Consider the following 23,046-nt stretch of genomic DNA (forward strand, 5'->3'; position numbering starts at 1 on the left):
AAACAACCTTGAAAAATCAGAAACTTTTCAAGGAACTCTCAGAGACAGAAAGAACAAACATACTTTTAACATACTGATATTTAAAAGGAGAATTAAACTCCTGCTTTTCCTGCTTTTATTGAAAAAAGCCCTAGTAAATGTATTATTCAACCACACAAATAGCAATTTTATTCAGAAGGATTCTCATGAACTAATCCAATTGAAGACCTGGCTTTACAGAGTCAAATATGTCATGTTTCTTTTACCCTGTTAACAATTAGGTTTTCCAGAGAAAATCACATTTTTACTCACCTTTTATGCAATATATTACTAAGATCTTTAAAAAAGAGAGAAAATTAGAAAACTCTCCTTGAATAATCATTAAGCTTTACAGCCTTTTCTTTGGGTTTTTTGTTTTGTTTTTAAAGCAGTGACTATTCTAATTATAATATTTAAACATCACAAGTTTATTCACTGATATGTAATGACTTTTAGTTTCCAGAGCCAATACTTGAATTTGAATTGCTTTTACTGTTACACTAATAAATATAATCCCTAGAAACAATACAGGTAAGCACTGGCTTGTATCTTTCTTACAGCACATGATCCTATCATGTATCAGGGTTATGGTGATCATCTTATTCCTTCAAACATGGGAAGAACTGCTTCAGGAGAGTAGCTAGGTATGATTTACCCTGGTATCTTTCCCAGCACCTAGCCCCATGGTTTTTAAAGCATATGCCCTTCCTAAATCCTTTTTGAATAAATGGAGCTCAAATGTTCACTTATATTAGCTATGTGTCAGTATCTCATATAGATCAATCCCTATGTTAGGGAGGTAAAATTTAATCTTCAAAAAGCACTTGATTCTGATTAGCCTTTTGGTTATGTTGCCTACTCAATCAGGAAATTCCTGGTAACCGAATTATCAGAAATATCAGTTGTTCTATAAAACTGGTTAGGTTAAGTATAACAAAACAAGGCAATTAAAACAAAGATGAGTAAATTTTTAAAGAGAAGAAAGAACTGCTCATCTCATTACAAGGCAAGTTCTACAAGTGCGGAGACTTTTCCAGGCTTGTTCATTGCTATATCCCCACCTTCTAGAAGAGTCTGGCACATAGTGGACCCTCAGTAAATATTTGGTGAATGAACAGACTGCTGACAAAACATGCTATAATTTTATCTCTATTGTTTTTAGTTCAGGCTGTTCAAACAGGATCCATTTGTGCAGTGCAGAAACTCCAATACAGGTTCACAGTGAAGTCCTATTCTGGCAAAGGTTCCAGGATTTGGGATTACCAAATGTAAAAAAAGAGTAAATTTACTTCCCAGACACTCACTGGCTGATCAGGCGAGGGCCTGGGATACATCAAATGCAGGTAAGCAAGAATTTCAAGTCATTATCCCTGTGCATGCAGGCAGTACCAGTGCCAGCAATAACAAGTCAGCTTTTCTGGCAAATCCATCAAAATTAAATCTTAAACTTTTGAAAAAACTAATATGTTTATTATGCTCCTGTTAGCTTAGAGGCTTAACTATCTGTGGGGGAGGGCCTATAATTATGATCAATTACTTATGACTTGAAGGTACTTATAAAAGCATCTGCCCTTTTAAGAAACCATTAAAGAACCAGGCTTAAGACTGTAAAACTAATCCCAGGGGCAATAGTAAATCACAGGTTTGGGGACCCAACTTTGACAACTCTCCCTTGGAAAGAAAAGAATTGCTGTCAACTGTCCTTATTTCCTGACCCTGTCTGAGCAAATATTCGCAGCCTCTAAAATCCAGAATTCTTAGTCTGGCCAAGCAAGTCATGGGGACCAATGGTTGTTTCAAGGCAGAGGCAGAAGAGAAGAAACAGGAAGGAAACAAAAAGGGAATGAAGATCTGTAGCTCATGAGGGTGACATCATCAATAATTTCCTCAAGTATCACTGAATTTCATGGCTCGTGACTGAGAGTCTTTTCTGACATCTTACAGGCTAATTATCCTCAAGGATCTTCTTGGTTCCAGAGCCTGTAATGTCTGGGTTTGAATATGATTTGTTCTACAAAAAAGGTCAGGTGAATTGACCCCTCCCTGTGAAGCTGCTCCATGGCAAGAGACCATCAATCTGCTGAAACGCAAACAATCCTTTAGATATCTGAAGTACTTTCAAATTTACAAAGTGCTTTCACATACGCCATCTCATTTTATTCTCACGACTTTAACAGGTAGGTGCCATCATCACCTTAACACGTAAAAATAATTTTAGAAAACAATGCCTTTGTCTTCAGTTCATAAGAATATCCTCCTGAAATTCACAGTACAGAATCCAAGTCATGGGTCAGTTAGAAACGTCTAGAAACACATCAATCTCAGGAGGATAAATCAAGAGAATAGGATGGATCAGACAAAATCTACAAGCACAATGGCAGAAAGTGTGCCTCTGGTATAAGAATGGCGTAAGCTTTGTAAACAATAGTGTTATACAGGGGTGCCTCTGTAGTACCTCTACGTTTGGAAGGACACTATTCATTCATATACATGATAAGCACCCTTAACTGGATACTCCATAGGTAACAGACAAAATAAAACAAGAACTTCCGTCTTAAAATTGTAGTGGTGGAATTCATCCTTCGGGATGTATTAGGTGATTCCCCTAGGACGACAGCTGAGTTACAGGGGGCTAAATATACCCTCCCCTTTTCCCTCCAATATCACAAAGAGCCCCAAAAACGGATTTTGTTGTTTTTAACAAATAAAATACACATGAAAAAAAGTCATCTATAGGTTTTTATATATAATCTCATCTTCTAAAACACTCATTCTCCTTCACTAGCTAGGCCGAGGTATAATGCGGTCTTAACTTTATAACCATTTACTGCCTTATTTATATATTTATGATTCTTTGATGCCTTCTAGCTTGAGTCTAAACTGCGTTGGGAACAAAGCACCGCACAAATCACCAGCCTGGGATAAGAGGAGACAAGTTAAAACCTCCCAAGAAGATTCTGTAGATATTTGGTCTCTCTGAGTCTGTAGAGAGTTTGGTATTTCAAAGGTCAGTCTTGGGTCTCTCCACTTTGATGACTAATGTTAAATTGTTTGACTTTTTACAAAAATATTTAGCTGTGCTTATTTACATCATTTCATCCTCAGCGCACACAGTAGGCATGTATTTGTTGAACAGAAGCCCTAAATGGATGAGAAAAAAGATATTTCTGCTACACATTTTCTCAAGATCGAGAAAGGTAAAATCACAACCCAATTTGCAGAAGTTTCTAGGCATTCCTTTTCAATGTAAAGCTATGCATCTCTGTTTAAAAAAGAAAAGGATGACACAACCAAACAATGTCAACCACACAATGGGGAAATTCCAGGATCACTAAGAAAACACCATTATCCTAAGTCACACATTTTCATTTAATACTGGTTACCACACAGGAGAGAGTAAGAACTGCTGTCTCCCCACCCACTCGCACAATCCATCTGGGAAAAGCATGGGCAGAACATTTATGATCTAACCATACCACATCTTGGACTCACATTTAACCCTTTGGAGAATTAGTCTAAAGAGTATGTCCGCCCAGAGATATAAAGTAAAACAGACACAGGGATAACAGTTTTGGAAGAAATTTTTATGACGCTGTTTGAGATTGGGCATCAGCACTCAAACTCCTTAGACCACCAGGAGTCATTCTTACTACGCAACTTTAATAAAGAGAAACTGAGAGTATGACTGGCAAAAATATTATGATGTTTCTGCATCTTGTTAACCTGATTTACACTTGGCTCCACCCATAAAGTTCCCACTGATTATCACACGGCATCCTCATTCTCCAGTCTCACCTACTCTGTCTTTCAAAAATTCCCCAACGGCATGGCCACGAAAAATATGCGGGGGCTAGCGGGGCATGTCTCAGGTTGGCTTATCCTGTCCCTAAAACGCACCCACTTCCCCCAGACCCTCCTTCAGGGTGGGCAGGGAGAAAACGCTTCTAAGTTGCACAGCTGCAGGGAAGCCTGCTCAGGTCATGTTTTTTTGACTTGTCTTTCGGCTCGCTGTCTGGCAAGGTCACCGGCTCTGGCTCGCGGCTCTGTCGACAAAACTTAACTCTCACTCTGTAAGACCAACAGGTCGCGCAGGACCTCCCCAGTCGCCCTCTGCCCCGCACCTTTCTGGGCCTGAGGATTCCCGGCTCGGCCCTCCCCGCGCGCGCGAGGCCCCAGATGGCGAGGGCGCAGCTCCCTGGCTCACCTGACCACGTTGGGGTGCTCGAAGGTCTCCAGGTGCCTCAGCACCGCCACCTCGCGGATGGTGGAGAGCGGCATGCCCTCCTCGCCGGTCTGCACCCGCACGCGCTTCAACGCCACGAAACGGCCTCCGTTCTTCAAGTCGCGGGCCTTGAACACCTTCCCATAGGCGCCCTCCCCGATCTCCGCCACGCATTCGTACTGCTGGTCAGCGCGGCACAGGCCGTCCTTCTCCATGCCGCCTGGACGCCGCCCGCCGCGGCGCCGCTGGGGCGGGCGGGGGGTGCGCTCAACTAGCTGGCGGCCGCCGCTCGCCTACTCCGGGGCTCCCCGGAGATCGGTCTAGCTTTACTTGCTCCCCGCCGGCTCAGGCGCTCGGGCGCTGGGGCTTTCGCCGCTGCAGAAGCTGGATGGAGAGACCTCCCCGCGGGGCTGGCGTAACCCTGGTGCCGCCGCCGCGAAACTCCGCCTGCAGAGTCGCCGCCGCCGCCGCCGCCGGAGGAGCGAGCCGATCCCTCCTCTTCCCTCCTCGAAGCGAAGTCCTCAACACAGACACGATTACATAGCCTCTGCCCAAGCGCGTCTCAGTCCAGAATCATTGCACCTAAAGGAGGAGACGGGAGGATAAGAAGAAAGTGCAATCAGACAGCCCAGAAGCCTTCCTCGGGGTTCCTCCAGACTCCCCTCCTCCTCCTTTACGAAGCCTCCATCGCTACCCTCCGCGCGCTCCTGCCCTCTCCCAAGCCGCTTAATCCTTCCTGGTTCCTCCGAGAAAAGCGAAGTTACTTTTCTTTCCCTGCAGGGCTGAAGCCGTCTTCGCGCGGAGAGGTTGCAGGGGCCCCTCGGGGATGAGCGAGCGGCGCGGGACGCAGTGGAACGGGAGGGGGCGTGCCGAGCAGCCCAGAGTGTGCCGGGAGCGCGGGGGAGGGGAGGCGCCGGGCACGTCAATGTCACGGCTTAATATTTATCCCTATATCATTGTGTTGCGCCGCTACCCTCCCCGCCTCCTGAGGCCCGGACGTGCAGGGAGACGGGGTCCAGGGGTGCCGGAGGGCGTTCAGGGGTCGCGCACAAGCTGGAGCGGAAGGACTGTGGGTCCATCCGTGTGGGGCCGCAGAATGTGGGTGGGGGCTCCCAGGACCCTGTAACCCGATGCTGGGAGTGTGCGAGAAGGGGTGGTCAGACATCTGCTCAGAAATTGCTTCCTTTCTTTCTACTTTCAGTTTTTCTACGAGGAGACATTTAAAAACGACTCGCATACACAAATGGTCTTTTTGGGGTAAAGGAGTCTCGGTTGGAAACGGAATTCTCTCTCCGGCTGGGAGGACCTCCCTGGTGGAAACCTTGGGAAGACCAGCCATCTGGTCGGGGAGGGTTGGGGCTTATCGGGGGTGGGCGAGCGAGCGGTCCTGGGGGAGGGGAGACACCGTCCCCCACGGGATCCCAAGGGTGGGAGAAAGGGGTGTTCGCCACAATTTCGCTTGTCGTCTCCTTAAAGAATAACTTCAGGAAGGGGATAGCATAATCGCGCCTCGTCCTTAAGTTTTAAACTGATTTCGACCTGAGCAAAACTCAACCTCCCTTTCAAAGGGTGGGGGGTGGGGGGTTAAATCCTGCGCCTCCAGGGGTGAGAGAGAAGGTCTCTGTCCTCGGGGCCCGGACTCGCGAACCTTTTCCCATTCCCAGGACCTCCCCGCTGTAGGTAGCAGAGGTGGCTGCCCCATTCCCCCTCCGGCTAAAGGCCCGGTCCAGTCTGCAGCCGGACGCCCCCGGAGCCCTCTGCACAACAAAGCGCCAGAGTAGGGTACCCTAACTTTCCCTCCCCATTCAGCAGCTATCTGGGACCTAGGGGGCCTCCCTCCTCCAGGGCCGCCGCGGCCTCGGCAGGACTTTCACCACGACGGCCGCATGTCCGGAATTCCCGGGGCACCTCGGAATTACCTGCCTCGCAACCGCTGGCCCGCTCGCCTTTTGCCAGGAATTAAACAAACGGCGCGACCCCCACGATGAGCGGGTGGAGCGGACCGCGGCGAGAGCAGAGCTTCTGGCACTCACTACATTCAGAACTTTCCTTAAAAGCCGAGGAAAGAGCCCCCAGGGACTGCCCGGGGGTCTGAGCCAGGTCGAGGGCCACACAGGTAGCCGGGGAGCCGCCGCCGGCCGCCCAACCCGCCTGTCCTGCATCCCCCCAACCCCCTCCCGCTCGAGTCTAGCCCCGGGCTCCGCAGCGAAGGAAGCGTCGGGGACGTCCCACCCCCGCAGGGAACTGCGCCTGCTGCCCCCGCCGGGCCCCGCACTGCCCTGGCTCTCCCCCCACTCGCCCCCCAGACGGTCGGCTTCGGCGGAGAGAAACGGGAGCAGCAATGCCTTTTCCCCCCCTCTCCTCCACTTTTTTTTGTTGTTGTTGTTGCTTTCCCACGCTGGCTGAATGTGACTTGACCCCATTTCAAAAAAAGTTTGACATAGTGCTTCAACATTTCCGCATTCCTCCGCGACTACAAAGGCTGCAGCCGCCTCCTTCTGCTTTCTGTCTCTGCTCTCTGTCTTCACACTCAATGAAATCCTTCATGCGCCTCTCCCGAAGCCTGCCAAGCACCACAAGGGTCGCCACCAGCACAGCGACAAGAGGCCACACCGGGGACCGCGACTCCCGCGTGTGCGCACACGCAGATGCGCCCATATGCACACGGACGGGCGCGCTGCGGGGACCAGGGCTGCTCACTGCGGGGCGTGTGTTTAACTCCAATATTTTAAATTATAAAAGTAAACTTGGAAACTACAGCAAACGTGCGTCTTCGCGGGGCTCCAAGCCTGGGCACTGGCCGGCTGCGTGCACTTTTCTGTGTATAACACGCCCGCAGGAAGCCTGCGTTAACATTTATCTCGTGGAGGGGAAGGTGGAGCCCACACCCACACCTCAGCGAGCTGGAGAGGGAGTTTTCGAGGGGGAAATGCAAGCACATTCTCCAGCATGGAGTCCCTAGAGGCAGTGCATTTTAAACCCTAAATGTGAATTATTATGTGAGTGTCCGAGTAGAGTTCCAGTTCCGTTTGGAGAAACTGTATGAGGCGTGTTCCGTGTGGGTGTGTGTGCGTACGGATACGTGGAAGCAGGATCTCGGTGTCGCGGGTGTCCCTAGGCTGGGATCTCCCCCTCTCATCAGATAAGGAGAATCCTCTAGCTCCCCAAAACTGGCCCCCATAACCAATCCCGTCTCAGTTCGTAAGGGGTTAACCAAAGCCGATTCCAAGGAAACACAGGTCCCCCCCACCCCCCGCCACCCTCCACTTACCCCACCCACAGTTCTGCCTCGGACCCCGGCCAATCCCCCAGATCTCCCCCGGGACCCCCCACCCCGCAGCCCACCCACCCGAGCGCACAGCTCCTCACCTGAGGGGCCCAGTCGCGTCGGGCCTCCCGAGGGGGCTGCGAGTGTCAGTCGGCTCTCCGCACGTGTCCGCGGCCTCGCGGAGCAGGTAATCAGACTCTGGGGAAGGAGTTACCAGCACTCTCTCCGGCGAGGGGGTGGGCACAGCGGCGGAGGGCGGAGGGACGGCGGAGGGCGCCGCCCGCGCCGCTCGCTGGGGGCGGACGGGGGCCGCTGGGCTCCGGCCGGCGCTGGGGGCCCCAGCCGGGGAGGCAGCTGGGGCGACCGTGCGGGGTGGGGGCAGGGACCCGCGAAGCCAACTCTGCCGGAGACCCACCCCCCGGCGGGGCTGGGGGCTCGTGGCGCAGTGGCAAGAAAGTGTGCAAATTAAAGCCTTCCGGAGAGAAATGAGGCGGCCGAGTCCCGGCAGTGCTCCGAGCTCCGGGCTCCCTAGCTCCCTTCTACGAGTCGGGGGCTAGAAGGGCGCGGTGGGGGTGGGGGTGGGGGGGAGAGTTAAATGAAAATTTCCGGCTTTCGCTGAAACTGTAGTAGGGGGATCCTGCGACTAAAATAAGCGGCATTAGTGGGAGAGAGTGGGACGTGTCGTCGGGAGTCGGCGGAGTTTCCAAACCCAGGGTCGCCCAGAGTTGGGGTTTTGACAGGGTGAAGCGGGGGGCATCCTCACTGTGTGACGTGGACGGATGGGAAAAACACAAAACAACCAACAATAATTATGAGCGGCCAATGGGGGTGGTAAATACCAATACTTTCCAAGAAACTGAAAAATCAGACCAAAAAATAACTCTTCTCTTAAAAAAATAAAGAAAAAGTTTGGCAGGATGCCTTGCAGAAAAGAAAATACTAATCTATCCAAGCACTTTTCACTTTCAGCATGAGCTACATTTGTTTTGTTTTCCTTCGCTTCCTTTCTGCCTCACAAAGCCCTATCTTTTCCTTTTAGACAGAGGATATGGTTTGGAAATTGTCAGGCACTCTTATGGTTAACGATCTACTTGAAGGGGCTGGCGGGCTCACAATTATTAAGTGGTTAGTAACTGCTGAGGGTTCACTAACGTATTTCAGAGGAGCTAAAAAGACTAAAATTTAGTGTAAATAATAGAACTGCAGATAGTAGATACATACACAAAAAGAGGAGTGCTCAGTTTAAATGCATTATTGGAAATCTGAAATTTGAAACCTTGTAAGAATGTATACTTTACCTGCTGAGAAACCCTTGAATACAATTATTTCAGGTGAAAATTAGATTTTGGAGAAAAAAAAGTCTTTAAAACTTTCTACAATGGAGTAAAAGAAAACTTGAAATAGCTGTCTTTTTGGAAAGAATTTGGTGTTCTCCCCAAAATCTCTATCTGTAGAATACTTGAAACCCTTTAAAACATCTTAAAGCAAAACTTTTCACAAAATTATTTACTTAAGTGCTTTGTAGAAAAATTAAAACCTGGCAAAATTCTGTTTGAATTGGAAATACTACTTCTATAAATCTTTTGACTTTAAAACCATGTTACTAATCTCACAGTAAATCAAATTTTTGCCTTTATAAAACTGATTCTATGTTATAGTGTGAGGTAAGGCTAGGGAAATAAAAATTGATGCATTTTCAGTAGCACATATTTTGCAATGCATTATAATACTTTTTTCTTTAAAAATAAAAGTGAATAATTGTATGTCTTTAAGCTTAAGATAATTCATAAAATACATTTGTGTTAAGAGCATGTCTTCTAAAATAAGATCCAGTTTTCTGAACAAAATTTGTATTTATAAAGCTATCTATAATCTCATATACCTTATAAATTTAAGAAGGCAAATCATTAGATTTTATATTTACATAAAAATATTGGATCACTACAAGTCACTAATTAGACTTTAAGCCAGAGACACAAGTGGGAATCCTCCATTTTGATAATTGTTCACACTTATCATTTGCCTTTTAAAACAAGATTTACTTGCTGGTAATTAACATGTTTATATAATCCAGAAATAATTGCCAGCAAATAGGAAGCAGCACATCATGGCTAGAATTTATTTGAATAAATCATTTATTAAAAAAATAGTAAGCTACAAATATTAAATTAACAGAGAAGTGTCTTTTCTACACTGGGTTGAATTTTTAGTTACTGAATTTGACAACAACCATTGCTAGATCAGAAATTCCATGATTTAGGTTACTAGATCATTTGGACAATGTAAAAAACAATGAAACTTTATTTAATTATATATGTTAGTACTGAGTGTTAACTCTCTGTCCTCTTCTTTTCCTGATACTGCTATCTTTTATGTTAATTTATCATTGTTCACTCTTCCTGCTTATGGTTCACATTAAGTCCCAGTTGGTGAAAGCTTCAGACCCAAGGCAGTTTTACAATTGATTGTATAAAATTAGTAAATACCAGATTATTTTTGTTTATGGATAACTTCTGCTGTGGGTAACAGGTTATCATAAGAAAATATGTTCAAACTTTTTAAACTGTGAACCAAATTCCAACTTCTTTGTTTAGGAGTCTTCTGAGAATTAATATATAGAACTCAAGAATAATGACTCCAACCAGTATTTTCACACTACATACCAGATATTCTAAAGTTGCAAATCATCTTACAGGTATTTAAAAATTACATTTCATGGACTTATTTCCAAATATGGTGGTGTAACTTACACTGAAAGACTTCTTAATGTCACACAAGGAATGTATTTCATGTGTGAACATTTATATATCAAATACCTGTACAATTTTGTTTTCACTAAAATAAACATAAAATTTTAAATTTTGGTCTATAATTTTTAACTTGTTAAGGAAATGTGTAATTTAGTTACAAATAATAATTATATAATGTACACCTAAATCTAATTCATTTCTGATTTATATTGGCTATTTGAGTTTATAAAATATATTTTCCAGAAACTCAGAAATGAGATTTTGCTATAATGTACTACACAATTATTTTAAAATACACTTCTAGTTTAACCTTGAAACAAGTTACCCTACTTTTTAACCTGATTTATGTGTTTGTGTACATGTTATCTTTATTGAGTAATAATCATGAGAAACTATAATTTTAACAGAAATAGCATAATATAAATGCAGTACATTTTAATGCATTCTTCTTTCCCTTCTCAGACATTTCCAAGATATTTTCTTGGGTTTTCCCCTGAACTATATTACCGAAAGTTTGCTAAATAGCTTAGGAAAAGTCAATTGTATTATCAACTTTTTGCATTGTAAAATTCTGAGCTTTAAATGATTTTTAAAGTTCAGTCTTCTAAATAAATTCTTTCTGTCAATTTGGAAATGACCTGGGTTTTTCTGTTTTTACTGTTGCATGTGATCTATTGCACTGCATTTGAGCAGTGAAACTTGAAATGATTTTGATATCTGCCATGAGGGAAAAAATAGATATAAAGTAGTAGCTTATAACATTTAAGGAGGAAAAAACAAACATTACTGTCTTTTGGAACATGCTGCTTCCATTGGTTCTACTACTCTATAATTTTCTTTGTGCAACATGTCAGTACTATGTTCATATTTGTATAATTGCCATCATCTTTTTTAATTTTTCCCTTTTGATAGACACCCATATCTTCTTTTTCCTTTGTGTGTGTGTGTGTGTGAATACCTGTATGTTCTTGGCATATTGTTATGACATGTTTGAAACATGTTCTTAAGATTCTTTCATCATCTATATTAGAATTCTGAGTAATCAGAAAAATAACTATGGAAATATACTTACAAAAGATGGTGATAATCACGTTAAAATACCTATATTTTCTTTCTATTTACAGTGACCTGTAATTTTCACTGGTTTCTAACATTTCTTTTCTGAGATAATACTTGCATCTCAGCTGCACACATGGCCTAAAAATTGTGTTACCATAGCTGGTTTTGGTTGAGCTAAAAGGTGTTTACATGCTTTAGATAGACCATTCAGTTGCAGCAGTGGAGGTATAACACAGTGGGAGTGAACGATGATAAAGTGGGATCTCAGAGGTAGGAGGAGGGACAAAGAAGGCACCCGGGGAGAAACTTCTATGAATGGCCTGGCATCAGGGACAAGTGAAGGAAGCACATGCTGAGGTCGTGGGGCTGAGAGATGCAGCCTCAGTGCTTATAGGTATGGCGTAGCCAGGCAACCCGATTCTTTCAGGATGAATGGCCTTCTGTGTCTATCCTATTATGCAATTAAATCTGTCTTATTAAATGAGGTTGTATACTGTATGACTCCATATTCACATGTAAATCTATTTTATGTTGTCTTATTCTGGATTTTTCCCGAAAATAACATAGAATGGAATTCTTTGCAGAATTCTTTGAATGCCTAGAAGAAAATATATCATAGCATATTTCTGTGGATCAAACATTTTCCATAAATTGAAGCGATAGTTTGATTTCTAAACCTTGTTATAAATTTGTTCAAAATTACTCATATCTTTGCATCCCCGGTACCTAGCACAGTAACTGGCAAGCATTTTATGTCCAATAATTGTATGTCAACAGAAAAGTTGACTTTGCATCCTTTAGACCCTCTTCTTTGGAACTGCTTAATAAAGTTTAAGGATCTACGTGCTGATTTCAGGACCTCAGAAATGTGTTTTCTCTACCTACAGCTCTTTTCCTTGTTAGCCCTCTTCTCTAAGTCCTATCATCCTTGCACGCTCAGCTCTTCCATAAAACCTTTGAGATTCCCTCAGCTGGAAGACATCCCCCTTTGCTCTAACTCCTTGAGGCAATTTGCTTTCTACCTTACTAAGCCACCCTGAGTCCTCCCCAGAGCATCCAGCATGCTTATCCCTTTAGCAATCCTCCAACTCCTTGTTGTGTCCTCTGGCCCTAGTAAGTGGTCAATAAATGCAGTAATAGTTCTTGTCCCCTTCTAGGAGTGTTACTGAGTCAAGCGGCCACAGAACAGACTGGTACACCGTGACATAACTAGAATAACATTTGAAAGTTGAGGACCAGTGTTCCATGTTGCTTAAACAGGAAAGAGCCAGGTCATCCTGCTACTTGGGGTAAATTTGGTGTGTTTTTTCTTGTGTTGCCGATATTAGTCATTTGAAACATTTTTGTCTGAAAGAAAATGTGTTTAGGTACATTTCTACATTTGTTTGAAAGACAAATTCCTGAAATCTTGGCTGAAAGAAAGTGTGTTTAGATAAATGTCTCTGTTTCCTCAAAATTCCAATTAAATAAATTTTATTTTAAAAGAGCAAGTACCAGACTTTGAGGTAAACTAGATACTATATAGCCCAGAGTTTGGAAAGATTGCTAATTTTATTTGCCAATATCCTTAATATCTATGTGACTGTGTCCTAAAAGATAAAATCCTTGATTTCTAAGTCAGAAGACTTGTGTTTTCATTCCCAGTTCTTCCTCTCTCGGTACTTACTATTCATTGCATCTTCGGTGACCAGTCATTTAATTCTTCTGACCTTCAGTGTCTATGCCTATTAAACGGGTTTTCTAATCATTCAGAAAGATATTATAAAATAGTCTGGAGAGAGACAACAAATAATTTTATCTTCACAAGAGAAGATATGGAGATATAATGGAGGTTGCTGTTCTGGGTATTGAAAGACCTGAAATTTAAACTGGAGTTGGCCACAGACTACCTGTATGACCTTGGGCAACACACTAAACCCCTGGGCTTTAAGGTCCTCATCAATAAATGAGATGATTGGACTGGATGATTTCTGTAGCTGCTGCAGCTTGAAAATGCTGTAGTTCTGAGCAGCGTGATATGCCAGGTGCCATCATTATAGATCTGTTTTTATAAACCCCCTAAACAAGAGTAATATCAGAGGATATGACTCTGATGTCTGCAACCTAGAGAGGTTTCTGGATTTCAAATGTGAATTATATTGAGTTATCTCTAACTTAACCCTGTAGGTTTTTAAGACTGAATAGAAATGACGACTTCTAGAAAAACATTAGGGAAATTCACTAGTGTTTTCATTAGAGATGGGGAAGGAGCAGCTAGGCTTGATTATTTGGCCAAAGCTAAAAGTGATAAATTAATCAGCCCTCATTAACAAAAATGTGATAAATAAATTACAATAGTATACATAGAACCAGGATATCCAAGATTAGAAATCTTGGGTTATCACAGAAATTCTTCAAAGGTGTCATGAAGCTTATTTGTAAACTATTAAAAACATCAGTGCCAGTTGGACTCCAGTGAGAAAGTGGGAAGGTGGGGGTGGGAGGGTCAAAGGCAATATACTGTGAATTTGAGAGGTTCCAGCATATTTCTGGAGCTATTGATTAAAAGCCGTTATTAAAACGTGAGTAGAGGAACAGCTGTTCTCTCTGCGTTCTTATTTTCCACTGCATCAGACCATGTGCATTGTTTGAAGGTCCTCTCTAGATGTTCAGGGAAGGGAAATATAGGTAGGTAGGACGAGATAGTCATGGATTGAAAGTCTGGCTTTATTGTGTAACCTTGGGCTAGGTTCTTAAGCTTTCAGATCACCAATTTCCCTTATCAATAAAGTAGGGATACTATAATCTGCCACATTAGGCTGGTGTGAGAATTAAATAAGTGCTTGCTATATGCATTTTGGATTTAATGGCCATTTAATAAATATTTGTGTACAGTCAATATCCCTTTCACAAAATCATATTTTCCTTTTTTTTTCTCTTTCGGGGGATAACTAATCCTTTAATGGACATGTCTTTCTTCTTAACTGGAATGAAACATCCACTCATTGCAGGAAAAGCAACCCAAGAAACAACATACCCAAGATTATCTTGGGCCTTGACAAAAACCACAGCTGACTCTAGGTATGTGAGGAATGGAGGAGAGGGTGGATTTTCTCATTGGAGACCTCTCCTTCTTGTTCAGATCTTATCCCAGTACTGCTGAATCTCCTTAGTCTGTTCCTTGCTGTTTTTCTTACCCTTTTCGTTCCATGTAGTTCTGTTTTTCCTTTTCTTACTGCTTTGGTGTGGCCCAAGGACCACCCCATTATGTCCCTTAAATCTATACCCCATATATTTGCTGGCATTTGTCTTTAAAACCCCATAATTTGCTGCCTAACTGCAAAAGGTCCCTCATTGGTTACTCTTCCATAGTCACTATGTCCCCTCCCATTTCTGTTGAAGTGCTGAGTGTCCCCCTGTTTGTCGCTGATATGGTTTGGCTCTGTGTCCCCACCCAAATCTTAAATTGTAATCCCCATGTGTCAAGGGAGGGAGGTGATTGGGTCTTGGGGGTGGTTTCCCCCATGCTGTTCTTGTGACAGTGAGTTCTCATGAGCTTTGATGGTTTTATAAGGCAATTTTCCCCGCTCTTGCTTGCTCTCTCTCCTGCTGCCTTGCGAAGAAGGTGCCTCTTTCCCCTTCCGCCGTAATTGTAAGTTTCCTGAGGCCTCCCCAGCCATGCAGAACTGTGAGCCAATTAAATTCCTTTGTTTATAAACTGTCCAGTCTTGGGTAGTATCTTTGTAGTAATGTGAAAATGGACTAATACAGTCACCTTGTCAATCTCTTCCCTACCACTTGCCTTATCTTCTTGGCTTAGCATGACTTTGCATTTCCTACTGCACACTCTCTCCCTAAAAACACTCAAGGGGAGCTACCACACTTGCCCCTCACCTTTTTTTTTTAACCTCCCATGGATACTTCCACAGTTCCTTGGCTTCTTAGCCTTCGATATGCAAATGTTACCTTGTCAGCCATTTTTTCTTACAGTTTTCTTATCCCTATCCATAGGCCATCTGGTACCTTGACCACATAGTTCCTGTACTTTTCTTCTCCACTGACTCCTACTAAGAGAGGCTATAAAAATGTATATAGGACTATATGCACAGGACTATAAAGGATGATGGACTCAAAGGTGGGAGGGACTGAGGACTTTCTTTATATCTGAGTCCTAGTCCAGCATCCTCAGACAGTAAGTACAGGTTGAATGAAAGATATATCACAAGAAACACAGGTGTCATCAGATAATTTTCCACCTCAGAAGTCACCTGGTACACACTTCTAGGCCACATCTTACTTACCTGTTTTGTTATAATGGATTCCATGTTATCTCCTTTGAGGATGAACTCTTAGGCAGGGCTGGTAAAGGTCTTCATTTTTATTGTTCTGACACCCTCAGTCTCCATCTTTGGGTTGCACCATCATGGCTTCCCTCAACAGGAGCATATAGAATGGTGGATGGGAAGCTCAGGAAGCTAAATCAATCTGACCCACCCAGGTCCATGCTACGCCAAAAAGAGCCATGAAATCCAGGCAGGGAAGCTTAAACCTGATTATTAGGCAGAAAACACAATTGATTTGAGATCTGCCAGCAGAAAAGGTAGTTCTTGGAGCAGTGATAGGACAAAAGCTGCACAAGAAAGATGACTTGGCAGTTGCAGGCGCAGGACATGGGAGTCAGAGAGGCCAATCTTCAGGATCCTATAAGTGGTGAAAAGACCCCGGGTAATAGTCTAGGAAAGAGGGGAAAAAAAGAATGTCTACCAGGAAGAATTCAAAGTAAACATTTGACAGGATTTGGCTAATAAGACAAACAGAATAATGAGAAGAATCCTGCCAGGATAGCTCTAAGCACTTTACGTAATTTGCCTATTTAAACCCAATTATCTCCATTTTGCAGACAATGAAACTGAAGCAGAGGACCAAACTCCTTATTAGGTTTTGGGTTTGAGGTATTAAAAAAAATGGTGCAGCTCACAAGAGATAAAAGAAAGATGGCAAAAGAAGATGACTTGATGAAGGTTTTGAATTTGAGATGACAAATAAAAATATCTAGTGGCACAGGGAATAGAGAACTTTTCACCTTTGCCTAGCTCTGCCTTAAGATAACACTCAGACCTGCCATCCTAGAGAAACCCACTGCTGTTTCCACATGACATTCTACTTTTCTTCTTTCCTATCTGTGGGGCCAGCTTCATGCGTCCTTCAGTGTAGCACAGTTCCTAGACTTGGTATAATTTCTGCTTTGCCATCTTAATAATTTTTGAATTAGGTGTCCCACATTTTTATTTTGGACTGGACCATGCAGATTATGTAGCCAGTGCTACCTACCCGATGGAAGGTCTGGGGTGGACATTCCAGATGTGGGCATTCATTTTACACTTCCAGCCTCCTTCACCTTCAAGGGATGTTTGCTCCTTCAACTCTCATGAAATTGTTCTTTCCAACACCATCACTGATGCACTCAGATGCAGGTTTTCTTAGTTGTTAGGCTCTGCAATTCTAACACTGGTTTTCAATCTTTTCTCAAAATTATCTTCTCTCTTAGCTGTCATGACAGACGACTTCTGCCATTTCTTGACTCAATGTTCTTTTGTCTTGCATTGCCAGCTTTTCCTCCTGGTCCTGCCTGACATCTGGAGGTTTCTTCTAAGACTTAACAATCAGCAGTTGAATTGTTCCTCTACAAACTCATTTACTCCCATTGAAGTTATCAAGCCTTCCCCTGTGCTGTGCACATAAAAATGGGTTTCCATCAGCCTCCTAGTATTCATTGCCTCAACCCTAACCACAAACCCGACCTGTTTCAAACTCCTTTTCCCTGCCTGCCTACACTGCTTCCTACTTGCTGACTTAATAAACTCTTTTCAAACTTATGGCCTCTTCTCACTGTTAGCCTTCACCTTTGGCTTTTCTACTCAACCGCCAGTGAGTGTCAGGCATTCTCTGATTCAGTTGTTTAGGCCACCCTGGAAAATACTTTATCTAATGCAGTCCTGTTCTGACCAGGCACTAGAGGCCAATGCTCCCATGGGGTTGGCCTTAACTCTGTTAGGGTCCTCCCCACAACTTCTTCAAATCTTCTGTCTGACACTGAAGCTGAGCAAGTCTGACATTGAATTTTGCAAATCAGAGCCACCCAACCCACCCACCATCTTTTCTTTTCTTTTTTCTTTTTTTGTGAAACAGAGTCTTGCTCTGTCACCCAGGCTGGAGTGCAGGGGGATGATCTCCACTCACTGCAACCTCTGTCTCCTGGGCTCAAGTGATCTTCCCACCTCAGTCTCCCAAGTAGCTGGGACCACATGCCTGCCACCACTACACTTGGCTAATTTTTTTTTTTTTTTTGTATTTTTTGTAGAGACAGAGTATCACCATGTTGCCCAAGCTGGTCTCAAACTCCTGAGCTCAAGCTATCCACCCACCTAGGCCTCCCACAGTGCTGGGATTACAGGCATGAGCTATCGCACCTGGCCTCCAATCCACCCTCTTCTGTGTTTGCTAAAAGAGCAGCTTTCTTTAATAGCACACCACTTGTAGGCAATGCTACTGTATTTCCCTAGTCAATTCTCTATCCTGCTTTCCAGAGATTATTTCATTTCTTCTCCTATCTTCCCAAATCTCCAGCACCTTCTTCCTGGCCTCATTGTCATGATGCCTTTGCTTTTTTATTTCGTTGAGAAAATAAAAGACATCAAGGGAAAAGTCCCATGCACTTTCCCTGCTCACCCTTCTTGAACTGCTGCCTTCAGTGTTCCCAGGACTTCACTCTCTTGCTTCTTCTCCTCCCTCGCAGCCTCTCCTACTCCCTCCCTTGTTGGTTACATCTTCCTCTTCCCGATCTCTAGATTGCTATATTCTGGGGCTTGGTGCTCAGACTTCATCTTCCCCTCTCCACTCTCACTCTGGGTGACCTCATCTAGTTCCATGACTTTATGTATTATTTGCATACTGACACTCCAAAATTTATATCGCCATTCGGATATCCTCTTTGAATTCCAGACATGTATATCCATCTGCCTACTGGATGTTTCTGCATAAATGTCTAACAGACATCTCAAACTTACACATCCAAAACTGACCTCCCTAAATTCCTTCACCCGCATTTTTCTTCATCATAGTAAATTAAGAAATGCGTTCTTTGGTCACTTAGTCAAAAATTTACCAACCAAGTTTGACTCCTGTCTTTTTTGCATACGCTATAGGCAATCCATCAGCAAATCCTGCTAGCCTTATAGACACAGCTCGACTACTGGTGCAGCCACCTTCATCTTTCACCTGGTCTGTTGCATGTGTTGCAATAGGCTCCCAGCTGATCACCCTGTTTCTGTCCTTGGCCCTCTGCCTTCTGCACACAACAGTCAAAGTGATCCTTTTAAAACCAAAGCCAGATCATATCAGTCCTCTTCAGTATTCAGACCCTTCAGTGACATTTCATTTCTCTCAGAGTAAAATCTAAGTCCCTTCCATGGTTTGTAAGTCCTTACACAATCTGACCCTACTCCACCACTACTCTGATTCTTCTTGTCACTCTCCCTCTTGCTTTCTCTATGGCATCTGGACTGGCTCCCTTGCCATTCCTGAACTCACCAAGCACATCACACCTCTGAGCCTTTGCACTTTGTTCCCTATGGCTGAAAACTCTTCACCTACAGGTCTGTCTTCCTCACTTCCTTCAGGGCTCACTCAAAAGTCACCAGAGGGGCATTCTCTGACCACCCTACCTAAATTGCATTCACCCCAGTCTTTCCCCTTCTCCATCTTAACTTCACTTTATTTTTTGTTCTCAGCAGTTGTCACCATCTGACACACTATAGGGTTATTCATTTATTTGTTTAGTGTCAGCCTCCACCATACCCACCAGAATGTTTTCTACAGGAGAGCAAGAACTTTGCTATATATGCTCTTGTATTGCTAAAACAAGCATTTGGCATATAGTGGGCACTAAATAAATATTTGAATGAATGAATGAACTCCCCTTTTATACCTGGGCTTGCAACTGGCCTGTCCTTGGCTGGGTTACAGTTTACTAGTTGAGAATAACTGTCTATAATATGTACCTTAGTGTAATCTTCTTAAATTTAGGTATTTTATATTAAACCAATTTCCTACTAGCAGCCTTTAGCTGGGATTGTTAAAGGTATTACTTAAGGATAATTTGTCTCACACACCAAAGACAAAATTCAATATAAAATTACTAAGACTATAGGGTAAGTATATTCCATTAATTGAAATTATCTCCTACACTGGAATGTGTGTGTAACAAATAAGAGTTTTGTTTAAAACATTTGTCTTTCCTCATAGAGAGAGAGAAACAGTTTGAAAGCCAGAGGTGGCCAGATTCAAGTCTCAATCCATCAGCTTATCGCTTCAGCTTCTTGCATGCTTGATGAGAGGCTTAGCATAGTGCCTAAGAATAGGGATACTGGGGCCAGACTATGTTGGTTTGAATCCAGGCTCTGTCACTTGTTAGATTTGTGACCTTGGGTAAGTTGCTTAACTTTCCTGAGTCTCAGTTTCTTTATCTCAGTTGATAAGATAGTTGATAATTGATAAGACTCCCTGTGGTTTTTTTTTTTTTGTCTTTTTTTGACAGGGTCTTGTTCTGTCACCTAGGCTGGAATGCAGTGGTGCAATCATAGTTCACTGCAGCCTCGAACTTCTGGGCTCAAGCAATCCTCCTTCCTCAGCCTCTGTAGTAGCTATGTACTGAGGATTTATTGAGTTAATCCATGTAAGCATTTACAGGGTTGGTACATAGTAAGTATGTGTTAGCTATGATTATTACTAATATTCCTTCTGAAAAAACAGCTGTCACTCCTTAGAGTTTTACTGTCCTTGTTCCTGTGCACCTGGCACAGGATTTACTGCATTGCACTGAGTCCAATGGGTTACAGTCACCACACCCTTTGAGCCCTTGCTTCCTTCCGTTCACCCTTTTTTTCCGTTTTCTTCTCTTCCTTCTCTCCCTCCCTCCCGCCTATAAGTTCTGCCTTTCCTTACTTTTTTCTATACATCCTCTCTCATACACTACAGTCTGTTCTGCATTAGCTCTCTATCTTCTCTCTTCCTTCTGCTGTTTCTGCTCTCATTCACAGAGTTAGAATTCTGCAGGAGAAAGACCTGTCATGTCACCAGGAAGAGTCCTCATAGGCAAATCTTTCACAGTTCTCACTTCCTAGATAGAATTTTGTTCTTTCAAGCAGCCCCTACTTTTAGAGCTCAGAGACTCTTTATCAAAGACTCCTCGTTCAAGTTGATCAGAAATGCCATCTCAGCACTTTTAACCCATGTGTGGGTTGTACCAGCAATGTCTGTTTCTTTAGAAAACACTGACTCGTCTTATCAACAATCACGGGCTAACTGTAAAATCAACCATAACCAATTGTCTTGCTTGCTGCTCCTAAGGGACATTGATAAAATAATGCGGTTGCTTTGGTGCCTAATAAAGTTCAACTCCAATGATGGTGAGAATGTAGGAAGGAATGAAAGACATGTTCAGTGGAAACACTTTTTTTTTCTTTCTTCTATTAGATTAGGAATTCCTCAAGTGAAGAGACCATGCATGCTCTATTTATTTTTAATATATATGACTACTGCCCAGCTTAGTGCCTTACTATACATGCTCAGTAAGTAAATGTGCCTTGAATTTTTGCTTCCCAAGAATTAGGCAAACATGGTAAAAAATTCTGAGAATTCAAAGCCTAAAACCATGAATAAGGGCAGTGCTTTGTGTGATTTTCATTTGGGCAGCCTTGTAAAACACACAATTTGATGCACTGAATTGTCACACTAATGAAATAATTATCACAGATCTCTATAGTCTTATTCATTTTTATAACATCTCTTTTGTGACAATTATTATTATAAGTTATGGTGAAATGTAAATATATGTTAATTCTTTCTGTCACTTGAAAAACTCCTTGGAGAATTAACTCATAATTTACTCCACACATTCTACACCTGTTTGCTGAATAAATGAAAGAATGGTTAAATGAATGATGTTATACTTATATTCATTCAGAATGTTTGAAGAAGTCTACATAATTAAATGATTTTAATAAGTAAAAGTTAGTATCTGTAGAATCTACGTGGGTTATTATATTAGGCTATAAAATCAAGTGAATATAAATTTATATTAAACATAGTGTTATTTTTTGTTGTTCAAAAGGCACTTCAAGATCTTTAAGCTACAAAATTAAAGGAAACCAACAGGTCTCCTAAAAATATATCTTCATCTTTTGTTTTGGTCTACCAGTACTTTACTATGCCTTTAAAATAAATCTGCCTTTCCAGTTGTATAGATTCGGAATAAAAAGCAACTTTATATTCTGTTGGAAAGTTTTAGGAAGGTTAAATTACTTTGAAAAAGACTATAACACCAAACCAAAGTGATGAAAATGTTTGTGTTTTAATTTTTCTTCAATCCATTTGTATCTCAACATATTACATTTCTAGACAAAACTGGTTTGTACATCTCTCTTGCTTGAGCAGGAGGAAATCATTATAATGGAAAGAATTATTGAAAATGGTCCATGTTGTGTAATTCCCAGGATAAATGGGCTGAGTAGCAAATATTTCTGTTGTGAACTGTTTTATACCTAAATGTGCATTATTAAACCCATTTGTTGAACACATTGAAAGATCAAATATCTTCCTAACCCGACACTGGAAGATGTTTATTTGCCATTCTTCTCCTTCCCCTGCTCAGATCTTGGCTTCCTGGAATTCATCCACATTTGAGGGGCAAAAAATCATAGATGAAGAAATCAGAAAAACAGAATTTAAAATTTATAAACATATTTTAAACAAGATCATAAGAAATTCAAAATAGTATACATAATAGAAACAGCATGTGGGGAAGCATATAGAACAATGTGGTAAGTGACCATTTTTTACATTATCATAAACATCCTATACATTTGAAGAACGTAGAAAGCACAGTAGTCACCAGACTGTAAGAATCCGAAGGTAGCAAAAAGAATGCTCATGATCAGAATGGTTCGGGGGTGGTTTTATGCACCTTCTGCTTTTATAAGGATATAACTTTAGATATACTGTGTATTTAAGTAATATGTATTTAACTATTGCCCTTTAAAATATTACATATCCAATCAGGTTGTTTTTATTTCAGCTGGATTAATCTTATGTATGCCCAATTCCATATTCCAAACAACCCTAAAAACCTCAGTTAAAAAAAAAATCGCTGGAATGCTTCAATACTAGATTTGAAGATAATAGTAGCAGCTGGAGTAGAAGGAGCAGAAAGCTGCTTTCTACCCCAAAATAAAACATTCTTTCTCTTTGATGATTCTTTTTCTTTCTTTTCCAGTAACTCTACTTTTTTTTTAGAATTGTTTTGAAAGTAGCACATTCAGGTATAGATTCATTTATTCATTCATTCGATAAATATCTACTGGGTATCAACCCTGTGCCAGCTCTAGACTAAGCACTGGGACATGTTATAAGAAACTTTTAATGTGGCACTGGACTTCAGGAGAGATCTCAAGGCTAAAAATATAGGATTGGGGGTTAGGTAAATGGTGGTAATAGTGCCTTTAAGGCATATGGAAATGGAGAGAGTTAAGTGAAGAGACATCTGTATATTGAGGTGAAGAGGAGGGGAGGGTAGATGAGACCAGTTTGTAGTTGATTGCTTCAGAAAGTCGTTGCATGAATGGTATAGAAAAGATACAAAAGGCTTTGGGTAAGTGAGTAAGAATGATTGTAGAGCTGTTAGGGAGAATGTT

The 23,046-nt window shown here is 42.4% G+C and overlaps 1 protein-coding gene and 1 long non-coding RNA gene across 6 annotated transcripts in view, besides 6 other annotated features; one reads left to right on the plus strand and one right to left on the minus strand.

Moving 5' to 3' along the window:
• CDK6 (cyclin dependent kinase 6) overlaps positions 1 to 7,705 on the minus strand; it is a 231,653-nt gene extending 223,948 nt beyond the window's left edge. Inside the window, exons 1-2 of one of the 3 annotated variants that reach the window (NM_001145306.2) lie at positions 7,610 to 7,705; positions 4,223 to 4,822 (exon numbers count right to left, since the gene is read on the minus strand). In NM_001145306.2, the coding sequence (NP_001138778.1) occupies positions 4,223 to 4,455 (233 nt within the window). In that variant the 5' untranslated portion in view covers positions 4,456 to 4,822; positions 7,610 to 7,705. Of the gene's footprint in view, positions 1 to 4,222; positions 4,823 to 4,934; positions 5,092 to 7,609 lie in introns of those variants that run through there. The other 2 variants (NM_001259.8, XM_047419716.1) reach the window with 2 other exon arrangements.
• Positions 3,953 to 4,453: an enhancer, noted in NCBI's record as "H3K27ac hESC enhancer chr7:92462135-92462635 (GRCh37/hg19 assembly coordinates)". NCBI's record gives its function as "activates a minimal SCP1, AML or CMV promoter by ChIP-STARR-seq in naive H9 embryonic stem cells {active_cell/tissue: H9 hESC(naive)}" and the evidence as "EXISTENCE:reporter gene assay evidence [ECO:0000049][PMID:30033119]".
• Positions 3,953 to 4,591: a biological region, named in NCBI's record as "H3K27ac hESC enhancer GRCh37_chr7:92462135-92462635".
• Positions 4,272 to 4,591: a silencer, noted in NCBI's record as "silent region_18374". NCBI's record gives its function as "represses an Ori minimal core promoter by ATAC-STARR-seq in GM12878 lymphoblastoid cells {active_cell/tissue: GM12878}" and the evidence as "EXISTENCE:reporter gene assay evidence [ECO:0000049][PMID:35858748]".
• Positions 6,288 to 6,537: a silencer, noted in NCBI's record as "silent region_18375". NCBI's record gives its function as "represses an Ori minimal core promoter by ATAC-STARR-seq in GM12878 lymphoblastoid cells {active_cell/tissue: GM12878}" and the evidence as "EXISTENCE:reporter gene assay evidence [ECO:0000049][PMID:35858748]".
• Positions 7,118 to 7,197: an enhancer, noted in NCBI's record as "active region_26276". NCBI's record gives its function as "activates an Ori minimal core promoter by ATAC-STARR-seq in GM12878 lymphoblastoid cells {active_cell/tissue: GM12878}" and the evidence as "EXISTENCE:reporter gene assay evidence [ECO:0000049][PMID:35858748]".
• Positions 7,615 to 23,046, plus strand: part of CDK6-AS1 (CDK6 antisense RNA 1) — an 80,705-nt gene continuing 65,273 nt past the window's right edge. For all 3 annotated transcript variants that reach the window (NR_110086.1, NR_110087.1, NR_110088.1), the window contains exon 1: positions 7,615 to 7,695. This is a non-coding gene — a long non-coding RNA (CDK6 antisense RNA 1). The remainder of the gene's footprint in view (positions 7,696 to 23,046) is intronic.
• Positions 7,648 to 8,007: a silencer, noted in NCBI's record as "silent region_18376". NCBI's record gives its function as "represses an Ori minimal core promoter by ATAC-STARR-seq in GM12878 lymphoblastoid cells {active_cell/tissue: GM12878}" and the evidence as "EXISTENCE:reporter gene assay evidence [ECO:0000049][PMID:35858748]".

The sequence above is a fragment of the Homo sapiens genome, chromosome 7 (genome assembly GCF_000001405.40).
Source record: "Homo sapiens chromosome 7, GRCh38.p14 Primary Assembly".
NCBI lineage: Eukaryota > Metazoa > Chordata > Mammalia > Primates > Hominidae > Homo > Homo sapiens.